Raw genomic sequence first — 15285 nt, forward strand, 5'->3', positions numbered from 1 at the left:
AAGAAAACTAAGACTCAGAGAAGCAAAGTTTTTAGCTCAGCTGGTGACCACCAGCTGGTAAGTGTTAGCAACGGGACTTGAACCCAGGCAACTCGTTCCGAGAGCTGAGCTCTGAGCCATTCCGTCTGAGGTCTGTGAATTTTTTTTTTTTCTTTTTTTGAGACGGAGTTTTGCTCTTGTTCCCCAGGCTGGAGTGCAATGGCGTGATCTCGGCTCACTGCAACCTCCACCTCCCAGGTTCAAGCAATTCTCCTGCCTCAGCCTCCCGAGAAGCTGGGATTACAGGCATGCACCACCACCACACCCGGCTAATTTTGTATTTTTAGTAGAGACGGGGTTTCTCCATGTTGAGGCTGGTCTTGAGCTCCTGACCTCAGGTGATCTGCCTGCCTCGGCCTCCCAAATTGCTGGGATTACAGGCGTGAGCCATCGCGCCCAGCCTGAGGTCTGTGAGTTTAACAGAAAACATACAGGCCAGAGAGAGCAGATGGTTTGTGCAGGATCAGAGAGAGCCTGGAGCATGCGTGTGTGTGTGTGTGTGTGTGTGTGTGTGTGTGTGTGTGTGTGTGTGTGTGTGTTCTGTGCATACCCACTGTCTGGGCCATGTCAGCAGGTGTGCCTGTGGCCATGTCAGTGTGCAGGGCAGCCTCTGTGTGTGTCTCTGGATGAACATATGGGGTACAACATGTTTCGCCAAGTACTTCAGGACAGCGGGGTGAAGCAGAGATCTTCCTTCATCAAGGGTAGAGGAGCAGGGAGAAATGGACTGGCCTATTTTTTTCTTCTGTCTTTGGGCTGGCCTGAAGGAAGTGGTGAGCCCAGCCTGGGCCTATGGCAGGACCTCCCAAATCTGGCTGCTTCCTAGAATCACAGTTTTTGGGACTCTCCACCCACAGGCGGAGATTATGCGGCTCAGGGCAGGCAGGAAGTCTCTGCTGAATTCCCTCTTTCCCACCACCTTTTTGGAGGCGCCCTCTCTAGACCTACCTCAATTTTCTCAGTGCCTGATGTGTGAACTTCCTCATAACACCAATCATTTAAACTATGAGCACCTACAACTCTGTCACCTGCACATGTGGGGAACCGGGAGGGAAACAGTGTGAAAGCAGGCACAATTTTAAAGTATCTATTGTTCTTTGGTGATGGTGGGTTTTTTTGTTTTTGTTTTTTTTCTTTTTTCACACCTGGCTTTGTTCTCAAGGAAATTTAAGGTGCAAATTAGGAGTTGCGGGAAAAGCTAGGGCAAGGGTGAAGCAGGCTAGCAAGTGTGTGATCTGGGGGAGGGCTGTTTGCCTGCCTTTACCGGTTGTCTCTGACCGATAGCACAGCAGGTCAGCATGCGCTGAGTACACAGACACTGCCCGGCAGCCACCAAAGCATTTCCCTGCCACGTGCTGGACAGTGTGCTAGGGGCTGGGGGACAAAGATGAATAAAGCTGCCCAGTCCTGCCCTTTTGGAGCTCAAGGTCACAAGCAGTGGGGTGGAGATGCAAAGGTCTAGAAAGATGTTAACAATCCAGGTCCATCAGGGAGATAACAGAGCACTCTTATCTGCTAGAAGCTGGGAGCTTGCAGGGGAGGGAGCTGGAGCGGTCTCACAGAGGTGATATTTCAACTGGTGTTGAAGACAAGTAGGTGGCCACAAGTGGTGCCCAATCTGAAGGGCAAGAGCCCTCTGGGATTCAATGCCATCCTATGAAAATCCTTCTGCCTGGCAGCTGAGCAAACTCTGGCTGGAATGTTAACTCAAGCCACCCACATGTGCTGTGAGAGGGGGCTTTGGGCAATGGTGGTGCCTCTGTCCCTTGGCCTCTCTGGGTGGGCCTTAGACCCCTAACCCTTGGTGCAGATGGGACTAGCTCAGAAGGATCCTAGACTTGGCCAAAAAGAAGCTGAAACGGAAAGCAAGGTGGGAGCAAAGCCAGTCCTATTAGAATGTTCTCCCTCTTCCCTACTCTGCTGGAGGCTCCATGCCAAGTCCCTTGTGCCCCCATGTGACAGCAGCAAGGGATGCTGGGGCTGAGTGTCCCAGGCCCCCTCCTTCCTGGAGGAGCTGGCCCAGGCAGTCCTTGCTGCTGCTGTAAAAGCTATTTCAACTGGCCTCTGTCTCAGGAAGAGAGAGGGTCAGGCTGGGAGAGGTCTGGTAACACCCTGGGCGCCATTTCTACCCCCACATATCTGGGACACTTCCACTTCACTCGGAGGGCATGGGGGCACAGAGCAGGATTCTTCCAGAAGGCGATGAGGCAGCAGTTCTGCCCAGCCCTGTACACAAGCTGCCTGGTGGCTCAGACTTTGAGGGGGCAGGGAAAAAGCCACTTTCAAGAAATGACTTCAGTTTGCCCCTCCTCCTACGAGTCCATCCCTTCCCTCATTTGGAAGAGTGATTTAAAATTAGATACTAAAATAGCTCAGTGAAGAGCACAGCATTTACTCCATGGCGGGTGCTGTTCCAAGTACTGCACATCTTATAACATCGAATCCTCACGACCACCCTTTGAGGTGGGCACCATTATGACCCCCATTTTACAGAGGAGGAAGCTGAGGCTCAGAGAGGTGCAGTAACTTGCTCAAGGTCACTCAGATTTTAAGTGGTGGAGTTGGGATTCAAACACGAGTAATTGGGCTCTAGAGTACCACCTTATGCCGCATGGTCACCCCGATCCCAACACCTCCCTGTGATGGGGCGGGGGTGCCAAGGCGGAGGGTGTACAGGGAAAGTTTCTGAGCCCTAATGAGTAGCACGGAATCTAGCTGGGGAGACATGCCACACACAGCTGTCAACACATGGCAAGGAACTCTCTCAGAGCACACAGCCACGTTCCTGAGAGAAAGGGTTCCCCAGTCCAGAACAACCCTGAGCTAGGTAGGACTAAGCCAGGAAGGCTTCTCGGAGGAGGTGAGTGACCATGGTCTCCTTGCAGAGACCATAGTGTGAGAAGTTCCAGAGAGAAGGAGGAGGGGGAAGGGCGTTGGAGGCCAGAGCCTAGATTCTGAGGCAGGACCTTGGGGCGGGTGGTTTGCACCCTCCTCCACCCTGCCTGACCCCGCCCACTTGCCCGGGACGCCGGCGCCGCAGGGGCTGTGAGCGGTGGGTGGCCCCGGAGACGGAGCTGTCGAGTCTGTGCCTGACACCTCTTTTCCCTCCACTTTCTTGGTCTCTTTCAGTTGGAGGAGGACAGACTCTCGGGGCACTCCCTCCCGCGGTACAGCCCCCTGCGACGACTGGCGTCCTCCGTGTTCTCCTCCTCCACGCTGGAGACGGAGCATTACCCTCACCCCGGCGGCGGCGGCTCCTCGGGCTCCTCCGGTTCCCTCATTCAGCGCAGCCGCTCGGCTGAGAGCAGCCCTGTGCGGGCGCCCCACCGGCGCCACGCGCCCCTCGCTGCTGGCAACCACAGACTCATGCCCTCGGTGCTCCGCATCTCGCGGTCCCAGCTGCAGCAGGTGTGGGCCCGGTTCACCCACAAGACCTAGGCTGGGCCCCCCCCCTCCTGGAGGGGGCAGGTGGGGGGGGGTGGGGAGCAGGCAGAGGACCATGGTTCCTTCCCAGGACGCAATAATCACACACTCACACATCCCATCCCACCCCATCATGCAATACAGCCCCCCTAGAACGTTGGCCCAAGGTACTGTAATACTCCCACCCCAAGCAGAGTCTCCGTCCCACCTCCCCATCAGCTCCCTTTGTAGGTGCCAGCCAAATGGTGCAGGGAGGGGTGGGGCTGGTGGTACAGTTTCCAGGACAGGGCAGGGGCGCTCAGCTGGAGCCACTGATGGGTCCAGAGTCCAGTGGAAAGAGAGGTGTCAGGGAGATGAGGCCTGCAGGGCCAGAGGCACTCTGGTATGGGCTTTGTTCTGTTTAATTTGTGATCTCTTGGCATGGCTGGGTCTGATCCACCCCGAGGGGCTGGCGGGAGGCCAAGACCCTCCTTGCATGGTGTGTGTGTGTGTGTGTGTGTGTGTGTGTGTGTGTGTGTGTGTCCCTGTGTATGGATGGAGGCCAGGACAGCCAGGTTTGGAATGTGGTGGGGAGTGTTTCAATGCTCAGTGATCGGGGGAGGAGCCCTGTGACCTAGCGAGACTTTCTCAGGCCATCATCATTGAGGACAGAGTTCTCTCCTCACACATCTTACCCCAGGAAGGCTCAGTCCATGGTAGGCTGCCCCTCCCCCAAGACACCTGTGCCATCACTCCCTGGTAGGATTGGGTGTCTGTCCTCGGCTCCTCAGGAACTGAGGATGGATGAGAGGGGCCTGGGATCCACCTCCCAAGGCAGGCTGGAACTGAGCAACGAGGAGACCCAGCTTAGAAGCAGTGGCAGCTAAGGTGGTTGTTAAGGATGACGTGAGAAACCATGTGCTTGTCAGCAAAACCAGTGTCTCAGGACAAATCCCAGGCGGGAGCAGCCCCACCTCTGCCCTTCTCAGAAGGTGACTCCTTCCTGTAGGTGCTCGGTCAGCCCCAAGGGCGGTGGTGAAGACACAGCAGAAGAGAGGCAGGTTGGATAGGGATCTGGACACTTGGGAGTGGGGAAGTGTCAGGATGCCAGCTTGCGCCTGCCTCTTCTGCCCATTTCTCAGCCCCCAACCTTCACTGCAGGGAGCCCAAGTTTCCCTTTATTCATCCTGCCCATGTCAGCCAGCACCTCTGTTCCCCTGGGGAATGCGGTAGTAGTGAAGTGGGTACTAGAAAGGGCCGTGCCTGTATGGGGAGGGGAGGAGGCCCAAAGATTTGCAAAATGTTTATTTCAGTGAGACTGTGTCTGTATGTTTGCTTGTGTGCATGCGCGTACACTTGTGCATAAGAGTGTGCTTACGAATGAGCGTTTGTGCATGTGGAAGGGCTGCCATGGATGAATGCTCAGGCTGTGCACTGTGTAATTCCAGGAAGTGCCATTTACATAGACCTCAATGTGACTGGCACGTGCGCAAGTTGCACAGTGCTGTATGAGTGTGTGTATGCACATGTGTGTTAGGGAGCCAGAAAGATGTCTATGCAGTCATTGGTAGTTTCCTATGTAGCTACTCTCATCCCAGCTTCACTCTTCTACCCCTCTCTCCCTGTAACCTCTGCTTGGCCCATCAATTCCCCAGATGTCTCTGGTTAGAGTAGAGGCCTCAGGGCCCTGGCCCCTGCCTGGGGGTGCCATAAGTGTGGTGGGCAGTGCCCTGGAGCCAAACTGTCCACACAGAGGGCCACCATTGTGGTATGGCTCATCCACACCATTCACATAAGCCACTCCATAGTCACACACTCCTTTCCCCAAAATCTTTCTTTGTAAGTCTATTTATTTATTTATTTATTTATTTATTTATTTTTGAGGATGTCTGGGCCAAGAGCACCTTCTCCATCTGGCAACAAAAGCCAGATTTGGGTTCTAATACTTGTGCCCCACCCCCACCCCCATCTCAGCTGCTCACTTTTGAATCTCCCCAAACCCAAGCCTCTGTTGCCCTCTGGGCTGTTTTGGATGGCTTTGCACCCTGCTCAGGCAGTAGGCAGGAGAGGGTCAAGGTGGACCCTTTGAGAAGGGACAGAAAACAAAAAGCACAAAGGTGAGGGGGTGAGGCTGAACAGTGGCCCCACTCCCCTCCTGCTGGCACTGCCTCCCCCAGCCACCTCCTCTTGCCCTCTTCCCATCCACCCCAGGTAGTGGCAGGAGGTGAAGTGAAGGGAACCTGCCCACCATCTGCTCCATAAGTCAGCAGCAGTGTGGGCAAGGGCCCCCCCACCCAATCTGGGGTTGGATGAAACCAAGCACTCTGTGATCCAGCATTCCCTTCTAGAGGGTTCCACTACTCAACCCTGAGCACAGCTCCATCTCAGTGACCAGAACCCTGAGGTACTCTAAGATCCCAAAGTGCCTTGTGAAATATTGAAGATGATGGCACTGGCTTCAGCCTCATTTCAGCATTACATACATATTACTGTTTCCAACGCCTTTGGAAGTGGGAGATCCAGCATTGAGAAGGCGGCTGAGTTTTCAAACACACACCCCCCACCTCAGAACTGACACCTGTGGGAGAGGGTGTGTCCTTTAAAGCAAGGCCATGGTTCAAAGCATGTTGTCCTTTAGGGGGACATCCTTTTGTATATCCTCCATGGTGGAGGGGAGAGTGTTTTGTAAGCCATAAAGCTCTGAGCTAACAGGTGATCTTAATAATATTATCTTTTCGGGGTGGCTTTGACTCTTGGAGATTGTTAAGGTCATCTAAGCCACTTGTGTTGGATTAAGTTCATGTGAAGCTCGGCAGAGCTTCACATGGTTTGGGTCGAGTTGCTGGTCTCCGGTTCCCAGGCTAGGTGGGGATGCTGTGAGCCTGCAATATTGTCACTCTTGTTTTCTGAAGCATTTCCCAAGAGAAGGCCAGAATGTTTCAAGATTGATACCCTGCTTGGGGAAAGCGTGTAGCCTCCTCGGGGTCAGCTTTGAAAAGAGACAGCTGTCTTTGTTGTATTTTGAAAGTGGTGTTTTCGCACTTCATAGTCTCACTCTGCATTTAGTGGTGGCTTACAATTATTTGTGATTTTATTTAATAGCCACTGGCACACAGTGCTTATTATGTGCCAGGCAGCGATCTAAGCACTTTACAAAATTAACTCATTTAAACCTCATGATAGCTTATGAGGTAGATCCCAGTATTATCTGCATTCAACAAATTAATCAGAACATTTTATTTACCAGAACATATAAAAAACCCACCCATGCCGAATAATCTGAGGTCTTGTTTGACAGAGTTTGTGAAACATCTTGGTCTATGTATTGGTTGATTGATTGTCCTTTGCGGTGGGCCCCCTCCTCAGTCTATAGAAAAGAGGGGAGTTGTCAGCAAGCCATATTTTCCTTCCTTTCCCATTCCCACCTTGCCATGGGGTGGCATCCAGATGGGAGTCACTCCAGAGTACTGGGGTTGGTTAAAATGGCTGGACCCTGTCTCTCCAGAGACCTCCAACCCCTCAATCCCACATGGCCCCAAGCATCCCACAGCAGCTCTGGGGATCAGGTGGGCAGAGGAGGAGTTAGCATGAGAAAGCAGGGGCTCCAAAGCCTGACCTCAGTGGGATTGGTGAGGTCCTAGGGGTCAGACTCACAGACGGGGAAGACACTGGCATCTGTGAACACCGAATGGGTGTCACCAACTCGTACATCAACAAGATCCAAACAGTGTCAGGGAAGTGGCAGGTTCAGGGACTGTGGTAAACAGGGGAACTCCCATGCCCATACCATCCTCAGCTCAACCAATTGTTGCCACTATCTTCTAATTTTTATTTGAAATCTCCCAATTTTTAATTGTTGGCATCTAATTTTAAAAAGAAAAATCACTGTATGAACCAAACCAAAATGGTTTACAGGCAGAGGTGGCCTAAACTCATTTTGCAACCACTGTGAGCCTGAGGACTTCCTGCACCACCCTCTGTCCAGGGCTGCAGCACTCAAAGGCGACAGTGTTCTTGCCCAGGAACTCGAACCTGGCCAGTGGGGATGTGTGGTGTGTGCTGTGTTTATACATGTGGTGTGCATAAGTGCCTGAATGAGTGTGGGGGCCAGTGGACCTTTTTGTGGTGAGTGGGGGCCTCCTGGTGGGACTAGTATTTTCTCCATGGGAGAGGGTATGTTCTGAGGACCCTGGGTCCGTGACAAATGCGCTAGTAAATTTTCGATAACTCAATATACATCCCCCACACACTCAAGGCAGCTTGGGTCACAGCAATAACCACTGAACACTCATCCCAACCGCTAACATCCTGAACCCAACGATATCCCTTTGCATTTCCAGTTTTGGGGAAAACAGACACAGCCCTGCCTAGTGGGTGGGGGATGGTGGCACCTCTGAGCCATGCTGGTCCCAGGACACCCGGACTCGCTCTCTCTTCTGTCCTGCCTAGATCCCTTTTTCTGGGGAGGGGTGGTGCTGTCTTGCTCAGGCAGTGGTCGGGGGAGCCTTGGGCCCCTGGGTAGGCAGAAGGAGCTGTGTAAATGTATTTATATGGAGTGGGCAGTGGAGGGAACCATACTTGGGGAGGGTGTGGCTCTGACCGGGGATGGGGGCAACTCCAGCTGTGTGTGGGGAGCCTGGAAAATGCTGTATCCTCTGCTGTCCTTGGGTTGATGTGGTACTTGGGGATGGAAGTGTAGATCTCTCCGGAGGGCCTGAACCCCATCCCACCCTACCCCAAACTCCACTTAGACCTGGGACACACTCAACTCAAGGGGCAGGAACCAGCCCACCCTCCATACAGTCAGCCCCTGAAAATGTCAAGCATCCTTCTCCCTAAGGGAAGGGCTCCAGGTCTGAGGGCCACAACCCTCCCATATCCCTCTGGTTCCCCACACACCATCCAGTGGGCGTCCCAGCCCAGGAGGCCCCAAGCCTGAGTGCCCGCTTCCTCCAAATGAGGGGTGGGGAAGGGGTGGAGAGGAGGGGGAAATGGAGCCCACAGGACTCCTTCCTACAACCTTCCTAGACTCTCCTCCGCTTGGCTCCGCCGTCAGTCCCACCACTCACCCTCCCTCCCTGCACAGGCTGTGGGGGTGCGGGCAGTGGGGTCCACTTGGCCACTCACTAACCGGCCCTCACGCACTCACACTCACACCCACACTCACACACTCTCCCTCCGTAGCTGCGCGCACTTCGCCCACTCTCCGGACCCTGCACTAGCGGCCCCGGCCGGGAGGGCACGAGGACTGCGCAGCCGGACCCCCGCAGGTCCCCAAGCCAGGGGTCCCGTCCATCCGCCCGCCCCCGCGGCCAGCGCCACGAATGTACGGCCCGCCCCACACAGCGCCCCGCGGCGCCCTGCACCCCCCGCCGGACTTCGGCCCCGCCGCGCTCCCGCCCCACCCCGCCGCCGAGGCTTCCCCTGGGTTCGCGTCCCCCGCCGCCCCCGTCGCCCCGCCTTCGCGCCCGTTTTCGTTTGCTTTTCCCTGCTGCTGGCTGGCGGCCTTTGGGTCCCTGGCCCCGGGGCGGGGGCGGGCTGGAGTGGGGCTCCCCTCAGTGCTGCCAGGCTGGGGTGCGGATGGGGACAGGCGGAGGCGTTCGGCTAAGCCTCCAGGCTCGGAGGGCCCTGTCGCCCCACCCCTGACTCCCGTTACCTCACTGCCCGTCGGGCTGCCCCCCACCCCGCCCCAATAATTGGCCTTGCAATTGGATGCCAAAGAGCCCAGAGTTGAGGGGGAGCAGAGCTTTGAGCCCAGGTCTCTCAGAGCAACCCAACAGCCCCCTTTTTGCCCACGCCCCAATCCGCGTCCCCTGCCCCACCCCACCACTGAGGGCCCTGGGGGTCACCAAACATGCCCCCCCATTTCCAGCTCTTCCCACACCCCCACCCCCGAAAATAAAACTCAGGGACCAACATCTGCTTCCTTTGCACTTGCTCCGTCGACCCCGCTCCCCGCTCGGAGGGGCTTCCGTGGGGGAGGGGGCGGGGCTCCGGGCCCTCAGAGTTCTCAGTGTCGAGCGAGGAGAGGGGCTGGCCCCTGCCCCCGGAGAAGCGGGACTGGTAGGAGAGAGAAACTCAGCACCGGGGCCCAGCTGAGCCCCTTCCTGCGTAAGGAGACGCCTTCTAATTGCGGGGTGGGGGCGGAGTAGGGGAGGGATAGGAAGGGGATTAGCGAGAGGACCCTCGCGGAGGTCCTGAGTCCCAGTCGGTTTATTCCTGAGCCTTCCCCTCCCATCGTAAGTCCTTCCCTCGACCCCCCATTTTGTACTGCAATAATACTGTATTATACGCTTGCACTATTTCCCGACCCTGGCCAGCGGAAGCATGCACGAAAAACTCAAAACCACACACACGCTCACACGCACACACACGCACACGAAGATGGGACGCTTTTTTTCTTCCTCTCTCTCTCCGGGGTGCGTCCTCCTTAGTGTACATAGCGGCGTCGGGGGGTGGCCCCAGGCCCGGGTAGAAAAGCATGCACTGAGCCCCCTGCCCCTAGACTGCGAGTACTGTACAAATCCAACACTTGAAACCGACACGCACACGCGCGGCGCCGCCACGGGGGTGGGACACGGACACGCACCCACGCGCACACGGCCGCGCACGGGCGGGGAGGGGGCGCCCCGCCGTCACGCGTCGCTGTGCGAGGGATTTTGTGCCTTTTTAAGTCCCTGTATGTTAATGCAGACAATCCGGAGAGCTTGTGTACTACCAAATCCTGATTAAAGACGCCTTCCAGGAACCTGCGCCTCCGCCTGCTTTCTTTCACCCTCCCCCTTCCTTTCCCAGCTCTCAGTGTAGACCCTGGCTCTGAGGTCGCCGGGCTGGGCAGAGGGCAGGGGTTAGTCTGTTGCTGACTCTGGGACTGAGGGGTGGGCAAGTTCTGGGTCAGTGGATGAGCTTCGTCCACACCTTAGCCAGGCAGCTGGGTGAGGAGGGCACCCCAGAGGTTTGGGCCTAGTTGGACTTGAGTCACCCTTGCCCTGCTGGCAGTCTCCTTTCACTGAACGGGTGGGGAGGGAAGGGGTGAGTGGACTCTGGTCTCTGGGACTCAGCTCCAAATTGCCAACTTCCGGGTGGGGATGGAGGGTGTGTAGAAGTAGGGGGCTGGGCCCACCAGGCCCAGTGATCAGTTCTGTATGGGATCAGGCTTTTGAGACCAAGTGTCTGGTGGGACTAGAAAGCTAGGATGCCAGAGGCCTGTGAGAGGACACTGTACTGAGGAGCCTCCCACTGGCCCTCTGCTACGATGGGCAATCTGAGAGATATGGGAGATGCAGCCCTGGCCTTGGGGGTGCCAGGGTGGGGGTGGCCCGCCAAGGAGGGACACTGGAGCATGGACTGTGAGAACCTGGGGTTGGGGGTGCAGGGATGGAACATGGGTTGAAGGAGAACTCAGTCAGTGGGAGGGGTGGGCCACTAAGAAGGAAATAATGGCAGACTTCTGAGACTGGAGAGAGAGGGGAAAGGTGAGGAGGACAATGTAAAAGAGGAAGGCCCCCCCATACCTCCACCCCATCCCCGCACACTGCCAACCAGAAAGGCAAAGGGGCAAGCTCCAGCTGCATTCCCAAAGCCCCGGGGCATTTAGAAGACGCCCCCCACAGGCTGTCAGCTCCTCGCCCTGGGGCAGGCAAGGGTGGGTTTTGGACACAGAGATGTGGGGTCAAGTGGGTGTGGTTCTGCATAGACCCAGGGTAGGTGGCCACGTTCCCGGGTCATCTTACCCCTTCCGCCACCTTCCCCTTCCCCGGCATTCCTGGGTGTGGGGTGGAGTGGAGGGAGGGCTCTTGGCTTGGCAGAGACGTTTGGAGAGTGGTGGCACAGACAGACAAATGCAAGTGAAGGGTCTGGGAGAGGCGGTGCTGAGTGCGGAGCTGACAGAGGTGATGCAGGCACATCTCATCTCCTCGCAGGTGGAGCAGGGGTGTTGGGGGTGCTTCTTCCCTACTGGAGGAGAGGAGGTGGGAGGCATGCACGAGGCAGTTTCTGAGAGAGGAGGAGGAACTGCTGTGAGAGGCACAAGCCTCCGACCTCAGCATAGGAGGAGTGGGGAGCCAGGGCTCACCCTCCTGCTTTCATCACACATCGCCTCCCAGCCCCACATCTTGGACTTTGGGACTGTGGGCCGGGGTGCAGTGCCTGAAGTCTGGGGCTGGCTGGGGTCCAGGCAGGAGTGGCTCCATGCACCCTGTGTGGGGGTTAAGGGTGGGGCTATGTGGAGCCCCGTCTCCAGTGTCGGTGTCAGAGAAGTTTCCCCAAGGGCATGAGAGCCCAGTTTTGTTGGTGGCAATTGAAGATCAGAGTCTGGTCCATCCTCTCCCTTCACTTTTCCTCCTAACTGGAGTAAACATGGACTTGGGCTGGGCTCTTGAGCTGGTGAGGCCTAGCCCTCTAGATGAGGCACAGTGCATGGAGGGGAGGGGCTGGGGCTTTCATTCTCTCTGAGGGTATCAGTTTGATTGGCCTGTCCTCCTCCTCTCCCCACAGCCGAACCCTTACCATATATGCCTTTGGCTGAACTCTGAATCACTAAGGAGCTTTAAAACAGCCAGATTTCTGGGCCTCTTCTCTGACCTACAGAATCTGGGGGTAGGATCCAGGATTGTGTATTTTTAAAAAGCAACTCTGGACAATGTTGTGCCAAGCCAGGCCTGGGAACCACAATAAGCAGATTAGAATCATAAAGGTTGCTGCCCTGAGAAGGAAGCAAGAAGGTGTGAATTTTGTCAGACAGCTAAAGAGCCACGCACACTGACGGTGTCTGTGGATCACTGGCTGAGTGAATGAACTCAAGATCAAATGGGCAAATGGATGAATAATTCACTGGGCATTCAGGAGAGGCAGGGAGACGGTTAGGCTACTCTCTGAGGAGGGAGGAATTTGAGCCCAGCCTCTGCCCCTCCCCAGCACAGAGCCAGATGGGGGAAGGGCAGAGGGACTTTGAAACCGAAAAGCCAGCATGCCTAGGTTGGTGTGGGGGTGGCAGTGATCCTTAGGGCAAAGTTGTCCTCACCCTGAGATTCAGGGCTCTTCCTCCCAAAAGGCAGAGGGTTCCAGGTGTCCCCATGTGGGACTGAGTGGGAGACACTGGAAAGAGTTTTGGGTCCTGGGCCACCCTGGTGGATGTGCTTCATAACCTGGACCAATGCCCAAATCCATGCCCCTCTCTGTGCCTCAGTTTCCCAGTCTGATTTTATGACTGATCATTGATTTCCAGTTCTCATTCCTCCTCTCTCCCAGGTAATAGGAGGGGAGGGCTTGGAGGCAGGAGAAAGGGTTCCACCTACAACCATCCAATGTGAGCACTGTGTGTGTGTGTTGCGGGGGATCCCATCCTCTACATGGGGCCTTTTCAGAGAGATCCAGGGCCTGGCCAGAGAGCAAAGGAAAGGGTGTCTCTAACCAAGGTGCCAGGGATTAGAGAGGGACAATAGGTAAAGGTTCTGAGGAGAATGGGTGGCCTGGTGGAGTTAAAGGCCATCCCTACTGGGCAGGATGTGCTGGTGCCAGTTGGGTGAGTTCAGAGGTGGTTGGGAGAGAGACATGCTCAGAGCTCTCTGTCTGTCTACCTGTCCCTGACTCTCAGTGCCAGCACCCACCCACCCCATGGTCCCCACTCATCCGGGAGCTTACAGCAGCCCCTCCACCTCTATCCAGCCATTTTCTCTAGCCATAACATTGGTGACTGGCAAAGTGTCCCAGCACAAGGCCTGGCACACAGTTGGTGCTTAGTGTTTGCTAAATGAATGAATGGATTAATAAGAACGAATATTGTGCAGAAAAAGTAAATTCTTCTGGACACTTCCAGCCTATATGTGGAGGGGACAAAGTTTTTTGTTGTTGTTGTTGTTGTTGTTGTGTTTTTTGAGACAGTGTCGTTCTGTTGCCCAGGCTGGAGTGCAGTGGTGCGATCACAGCTCACTGCAGCCTTGATCTCCTCAGCCTCTCGAGTAGCTGGGACCACAGGCGTGCACAACCACGCCCAGCTAATTTTTGTATTTTTAGTGAAAACAGGGTTTTGCCATGTTCCCCAGGCTGAGGGGACCCTAGCAACCCTGTTTGAGCCAGGTAGGGAGCTTTCTGAGAAAGCTTTCTAAGAAAACTTTCTAACTAAGAAAAGTTTTCTAAGAAAGTTCCCTACCTGGCCCAAACAGGGTTGCTGGGGTCCTGCTGGAATCTGAAGCTATCTTCTTGCATCACCCCCACCAAATCCTCACTGATGGTCTGATTACAGGGAAGATCATGGCAGTTGGGAAGGGGAGCAGCCACAGCCCTGGACAGATCCTCAGCCTTGGAGGTCTCTGCCTTCCTCTCCACCAGGCTTTGTGCTATTTGCATGGAGGCTTCGGCTGGCAGAGCCCCCTCCTTTCCCCACACGCTATTCCCCATAGGTGTGGCATCCAGGCTTTTCTGGGGTTGGGGAGGGGGCCAATGACCTCCAAACCAAGGTGAGCAGAGCAGGAGGTGGGAGGTAGGGGTGGGAGAGAGCTAACATTTATTGAGCAACTGCTATATGCCTTTGCTTATATGACCTCATTTATGATCACAACCTTTGTGGAATGTGCATATCCCCACTTAGTTTCCTGATATAGAGAAAATAAGGACCATCTCTATCTTGTTCATACTTGATCCACAGATTCTTAGACTATAACATGGTGACCAGGACAAGAGACATTCAAAGACCACTTCTTGAGGGAGTAAATGAAGAAACCCTCAGGGATCTCTGTGTATCAGGAGAGGGAACCCTATAAATACACGCATGTAGGACAATAGGTGGGAGATTCTCTCACAGAAGGATGTGGAAAACAAGTAGAAAAGGGAGAATAAGTAAATCTGCTTGGTGGGTGGACAGGAAAGTTGACAGGAAGGCTTTGTCTCCTCTTTGCTAAGACCAGGAGCTGTTTGAGCTGGTCTTGAAGGAAGGGTAGCAAGTTATCATGTGCAGAGAGGAGGTGAGAGGAGCCCCCAGGTGGAGGAAACTGCCTGGGCTAAGTGTGAGCTGGAAGATGCACTTAGGAACTTCTGGAAGCATCGGAATGCGTGGAGTGTAGGCAGGGGCAGGGGACGGAGGGTGTTGCAATAAGTGAGACCAGAGCAGCCAGTAGTAGCCAGGTCACAGGGCTGGGTGGGGGATTCATGGGCCAAGTCAAAGATCTGAACTGTCTTAGGCCAGGCGTGGTGGCTCACGCCTGTAATCCCAGCACTCTGGGAGGCCGAAGCGGGTGGATCACCTGAGGTCAGGAGTTTGAGACCAGCCTGGCCAACACGGCGAAACCCCGTCTCTACTAAGAATAAAAAAAAATTAGCCGGGCGTGGTGGCGGGCACCTGTAATCCCAGCTACTAGGGAGGCTGAGATGGGAGAATCACTTGAACCCGGGAGGCAGAGGTTGCAGTGAGCCGAGATCGTGCCACTGCACTCCAGCCTGGGCGACAGAGCAGGGCTCCATATCAAAAAAAAAAAAAAAAAAGATCTGAACTGTCTCCTAAGGACTGTGGCAGCCATAGCAGATTTGAAGCAGAGAGAGATGGAATCAGATTAAGTTTCAGGAAGATCACTCAGGCAGATGTAAAAAGGATGGACGGCAGTGCAGAATGGAGAGAACAGGCCGGTGGCTGGGGAACCACCAGGAAAGGCAAGGCTGTGCTCGTGGGCCTGGGGTAGCAGACACAGAGAAGTTTAAGAAGGATGCTTGGCAGGACTCCTTGGCAGCGTAGATGGGCAGGAAAGTGGGGAGGCAGGATATCCCCGGGGCTTCTGGTCTGGATGGGCTGTGTTCGGCTAGCTTAGGAAGACAGAAGCCCAGCGTGTTCGAAAATGCTAGCAAAGTGCTGGA

The 15285-nt window shown here is 55.2% G+C and overlaps 1 protein-coding gene across 8 annotated transcripts in view, besides 4 other annotated features; it reads left to right on the top strand.

Annotated features, from left to right (window-relative positions):
* The window catches only part of TTBK1 (tau tubulin kinase 1), a 44778-nt gene that overhangs the window by 22994 nt on the left and 6499 nt on the right, over positions 1–15285 (top strand). The window contains exon 13 of one of the 8 annotated variants that reach the window (XM_017011367.2): positions 3169–10189. The exons of 5 other annotated variants lie outside the window; for them this stretch is intronic. In XM_017011367.2, coding sequence (XP_016866856.1) covers positions 3169–3477 — 309 coding nt within the window. In that variant the 3' untranslated portion in view covers positions 3478–10189. Of the gene's footprint in view, positions 1–3168; positions 10190–10307; positions 11364–15285 lie in introns of those variants that run through there. 2 more of the 8 variants (XM_011514948.3, XM_017011368.2) reach the window with 2 other exon arrangements.
* Positions 5607–5856: a silencer, noted in NCBI's record as "fragment chr6:43239819-43240068 (GRCh37/hg19 assembly coordinates)". NCBI's record gives its function as "represses an EF-1alpha promoter that drives an FKBP-Casp9 reporter gene in an ReSE screen in phorbol 12-myristate 13-acetate-treated (for megakaryocytic differentiation) K562 erythroleukemia cells {active_cell/tissue: K562(+PMA)}" and the evidence as "EXISTENCE:reporter gene assay evidence [ECO:0000049][PMID:32094911]".
* Positions 8764–9063: a silencer, noted in NCBI's record as "silent region_17224". NCBI's record gives its function as "represses an Ori minimal core promoter by ATAC-STARR-seq in GM12878 lymphoblastoid cells {active_cell/tissue: GM12878}" and the evidence as "EXISTENCE:reporter gene assay evidence [ECO:0000049][PMID:35858748]".
* Positions 10803–11458: an enhancer, noted in NCBI's record as "H3K4me1 hESC enhancer chr6:43245015-43245670 (GRCh37/hg19 assembly coordinates)". NCBI's record gives its function as "activates a minimal SCP1, AML or CMV promoter by ChIP-STARR-seq in primed H9 embryonic stem cells {active_cell/tissue: H9 hESC(primed)}" and the evidence as "EXISTENCE:reporter gene assay evidence [ECO:0000049][PMID:30033119]".
* Positions 11459–12113: an enhancer, noted in NCBI's record as "H3K4me1 hESC enhancer chr6:43245671-43246325 (GRCh37/hg19 assembly coordinates)". NCBI's record gives its function as "activates a minimal SCP1, AML or CMV promoter by ChIP-STARR-seq in primed H9 embryonic stem cells {active_cell/tissue: H9 hESC(primed)}" and the evidence as "EXISTENCE:reporter gene assay evidence [ECO:0000049][PMID:30033119]".

The sequence above is a fragment of the Homo sapiens genome, chromosome 6 (assembly GCF_000001405.40).
Source record: "Homo sapiens chromosome 6, GRCh38.p14 Primary Assembly".
Lineage (NCBI taxonomy): Eukaryota > Metazoa > Chordata > Mammalia > Primates > Hominidae > Homo > Homo sapiens.